Raw genomic sequence first — 4,738 nt, 5'->3', positions numbered from 1 at the left:
GTGAAAAAGACTTGATATCTCTTCAGTCAATTGGTTTTCAAACTGATTATTCTTAGTCTAGCCACTTGAGAAAATTTTGGGGGGTTGTTTCCTAGAGATTTAAGTGTTCTTAAAGCCAATCTTTATCCAGGGAAAATATTTATCTTCCTGGTTTTTGAAAGTGAACAAATTGAGTTCATTACTTTTCTTAAGAGTTTGAGTTCTATTTTCTATAGTTTTCCAATTATAAGTCACTGTGATAACTTTTCAACACATTTTATCCAAGAGATGAAACTATTTTGCCAAATACAAACTGTGACATTTTGGTGCAGTGACTCCCTTTCTACTCATGCTCTTCTTTGATATGTCACTTAATATTTACAACAAAAACATAAGGTGTATATTATTAGTCCCATGTTGTTGATGAAGAAATGGGAATTTAAATAGGTTAAGTAACTTGTTTGAGGTGACATAGCTTCTAAGTAGATTCCCGGACCAAGTCTTTTGGAGTAATAAAGCTCTGTTCTTTCTCAAAACTGTGCTTCTCCTAGGTATCCCTGCAAGGTAGTTTAAGTACCCATTATGGTGTAGTTCTGGCATTTGAAGGATGTGTCTACCTAGCAGGGTAAAAATGCTTATAGATCATCATTGCTTCATGTTCCAGGGGCTTCATCATAGCAGTATATACATCACTAGGATAGGGTTAAGTGCTCTCATGGAGAAAGTCTACTGTTGATTTTTTTTTCAACCAAAAGTTATAGTTTAAGCTGTCTTATAAACAGATCTGTCACTAAAACTATATAAACTAAGACAGAGTTTAACAGCTAAATTTATCCATAAGCTACAAAAACAGTCCCATGATAAAGCAAATTGTCATGCATTAAACATGTCAGTTCATCTAAAGTTTTTATCAATGATCTGAAAGGCATTTCTTGATCATTTAAATGGCGTAACATATTTTATTTCCTTATGTACCACTTGCAGTTTATGGTTAGATTCTTATTACACCAAGTGTAGACAAAACCTCTTGAAGTAATTTTTCTACCTGCCCAAAGTGAAGAGGAAAAAGTGCAAGTCAGATTTAACAGAAAATGGCTAGGTGAGGAATAGGTCATGCAAACCAAACATTAAAACCAGGTGGATTAGAAGGCTGAATGCCATGGCACTGATGAAAGATTCCAGGGGAGGTCATGTGGTTCTTCCTTAGATAAAGATCAAGGTGGAGTCTATGAGGCTCTGAATTTCAAAATCTTGGTAATGCCATATGAGGTCTACAAGACTAAGCCAGTGTTCCTTAGTTTGGTGATGCATCAATAGCACTTGTAAAATTTTTAACACATCCTGAATCTCACTGTAGATTACTAATCTGGGGTTTTGGAATCTGTATGCTTAAAAAATCCCTCCCCCCAAAAAACTATGCAGAAAAAGGAGAAAGGAAAAGAGAAGAAAAAAGGAAAAGGAAGAAAAGTAAAGGGGAATGAAGCACAAGTAATAAATCAAATAGGATAAAATGCCAACAGTAGGTAAACCTAGGTAAAGGGTAGCAGTGCTGGGCTATAGCTGGCATGAATTGGATCATTATTTTCTGCATCTCTTCCCAACTCCTTGTCAGTGACTTCACATTGGCAGCTTAAAATTGGCCATGCTGAGCATAAATGCACCATAGAAGTCAGCAAATGCAACAAATTAGGGCTTACCCTCCCCAAGAGCCTACTCACCAGCTAACCATTGAGTATTTGGGTGCTCTTTATAAAAATTACACCCTCCACCCCAACCCCTCCCACACAAAAAACCCAAACACTCTTCTAGTGATGCAATTGCAACCGTCTTGGCATTTGGGAAGTGCTGTGCTTGACGGCAAGTTTCCTGAGGGCAGGGACCATGTCTACCTATATCTCTGCTACCTCCCCAGCATGTAGCCTGGTGCCAGACATATGCTGGACAATAAATATTTATTGAATAAATAAATGAAGTTTTCATTTTAAAACACTTTATGTTACCCATGTGTTAGCTTAATTTGGGATGAGTGGAGGGAATGGAATAAGATGATAATATATAATTAACATTCTGTATGAAACTCTCTTTAGCTCCTGTGGGGAGAAGGTATTTAACAAACGGAAAGTATAAGGTCCAAAATTAATCTCATCTTAACCTCAGGAAATGCATAAGGGAAGAAAATTCACATTACTGATTACACACTGGTACCTGACAGATAGAAATGAGATAATAAGTAGATATTGACTTCTGTTGAGGTGAACATCAAGATCTATTGACCTGAGAGGTAAATATTGACCGAGGTGAAGTCAAGGTCAATATTTGCCTCAAAGAATAGGAAATCTTAATGCTCACCAATATATAAAGGTTATATGTGAATTTTTACATACATTTTCCTGGCATAACATTATGAAAGTGCTATATTTTCTCAAGCAATGCACAAAAGTCTCTTTTAAAAGTTTAAGTTCCATACAAATGGCAGTTTTAAGGAATAAGAATTTCTACTGTCTTTTCTATTGTTGATTTTTGCTGAGCCATTAGTTAAGAGAATTTGATATGGTCTGATTGTGGTACAGCAAAGGTTAACAAGAGTTTAATAGAACTCAAGCCATCCCTTAGGAGGGCACAAAGAACATCTTCCCAAGTCATCATGGCTACCAGTGACATTTTCTCTTGACTGTCTTTGTCAATCATGACAATCTTTCTTTCTGTAACAACACATCTTAATCATAGAGTCCTAAGATTTTAAGTCTGCAAGGGTATTCATCTAATCATTAGATTCTAATTTATTTCCTGACTTTAAGCTGCACTCTATCAAAAGATGATCCTGGGCCAGTAAGCCCTGATCAACATGAATCTCTAAATTATTTTATTCTGTAGGATCCTATGGTGGAGAAGAAGGGGTGAATCTTTCAGGGAGTGGAACATTTTAATTGCTCTTCATTGCTCTGTTTTGTAGAGAAGTCCCCATCACTATTGCTGGAAACTTCAAACCATCTAGAACCTAATCTCCAAAACCTGCTAGTTTCCGTAGTAACAGAATGTTTAGGCCAAGCCAGGAGGAAACTCCTTTTCCACAAAGCTCAATTACCCAGTCACCTCCCAAGTTACCATTCACTAGTGCTGCCTCTGCTGGTATAGGTCTTGCTTAACTTGGAGTAATTTGAATGGAAGCATTCTCACCTGGCTTCCTTTAGGACCTGCTCCTGTTTCATAAGGTCCTGTTTCTTTGTCTAACTTTCAGACCACGAAACAAAATTAAAGGCCCCTCAAAGTAATGCAGATGTCAGTGGATGCAATAACACAGTTGGTGTCCTGGTTGCCTTTCAGTTCTGATAAGCTACTTGAAGGTAAAGACAATGCTCTATACCTCTTCATTTACCTTTTGGCACCCAAGAAGGGGAGTGGATCTTGAACAGGTAAGTGCTGAATGATCAAGTGTGTGAATGAATGCAAAAGCCCTCCTCATTGTTTTCTTATTCTTTCCTTCTACCTCAAGGCATTTGCAGAAATGTCAGGAGGATAGGATGAACAGCACATGTAGTCAATGCAAGGATTTAAAAATCCCCACCCATGCTCCCCTTCCTCATGAGCTAGGCTCTAATATATGCACTGCTTGATTTTCATACATGCTGATTGCATAGCGATTTATTCTACAAGTGCCAAGGAGAAGAGTCACCCCCGGACTAAATGTAAAATCTTTATTCTCACCAATGTCTAAATCATTGTTTTCTTGAGGCTGAGATCATGTGGCACACATTATTAATAGCTCTGGTCTCTCCACCACTTGACACAGCGCTCCAGCTGTCTTTCTGCTCCCTGGCTCGTATGATTCTTGCACTGGTGAAGTGCCAGGCCCGGGCCTAGCCCATCAGTCACTGTCACCCACCACCCAGTGATGAATAGCCTGGCCGTCGCCGTGGCGAGGCCCGGGCTCTGATTCACACACGCCTGACTTTTACCAACTTCAGCACGCCAGCTGAGGCCTATCCCAGCTGAGGAAGGCCGCAGTGACCTGGAAATGGCACCGCCTCTGCTCCCCAACTCTCCCTCGGCCCCTCCCCCCACCCCGATTAGTTAAAAATGAAACAAATCCTAATGTGATCATGTCACTAATTATGCATTTAATTCAGTTATAAGGAGCTAATGGCTCCCTCAGTGACAGCTTTTACTGCTAAAAGGCAATTCATTCCTGAAACGGAGAAATCTAATTACACAAAATGCTTCATCCTAATCCTTTCAAAGAATAATCTTATTTGTAGACATTAACATCCCAGATGCTGCTGCTGTTTGTCCATTATGACAGTGTTTGTCCTGAATAATGTATAAATAGCTCTTTCTGGACAGTTGCATGTCACTAAATCAATACAATTTGCTGCCTTCTGTTACATTAAGTTGGCCTGGGCAGGCTGGAGAAAATTAACCTTTTGTTTTCCTCCCCTCCCCCTTTCTCAAAGGGCCTTCAGCATTAGAAATGAGAAGAGGATTAAAGGGGCCTGGGGTGGGGATGAAAGGGGACAGTAGAGAAAGAGAGAGAGGAGTGAAGGAAGACAGGTATGAACGAAGCTGCAAACAGAGAGAGAGAGAGGAGTGAAGGAAGACAGGTATGAAAGAAGCTGCAAACAGCTAGGGCAGGAAATGTCAGGTATAGAAATGCCATCAGATGAACCACAAATGATAGGTAGGAGAAAATGGCAAACTTCTATGATGATTATTTTGGAATTACTCCAGATGTAGACCTGAACCAGAGCATTTTATGTGCTGA

The 4,738-nt window shown here is 39.4% G+C and overlaps 1 annotated feature.

The window, feature by feature from the left end:
- Window positions 3,507-4,471: an enhancer, noted in NCBI's record as "VISTA enhancer hs680". NCBI's record gives its function as "enhancer in: hindbrain (rhombencephalon)[6/7] | midbrain (mesencephalon)[5/7] | cranial nerve[6/7]" and the evidence as "EXISTENCE:transgenic organism evidence [ECO:0001131][PMID:17130149]".

Source organism: Homo sapiens, chromosome 4, assembly GCF_000001405.40.
Source record: "Homo sapiens chromosome 4, GRCh38.p14 Primary Assembly".
NCBI lineage: Eukaryota > Metazoa > Chordata > Mammalia > Primates > Hominidae > Homo > Homo sapiens.
Note: the sequence above shows the minus strand (reverse complement) of the source record. Positions and strands in the feature narration are given on the sequence as shown.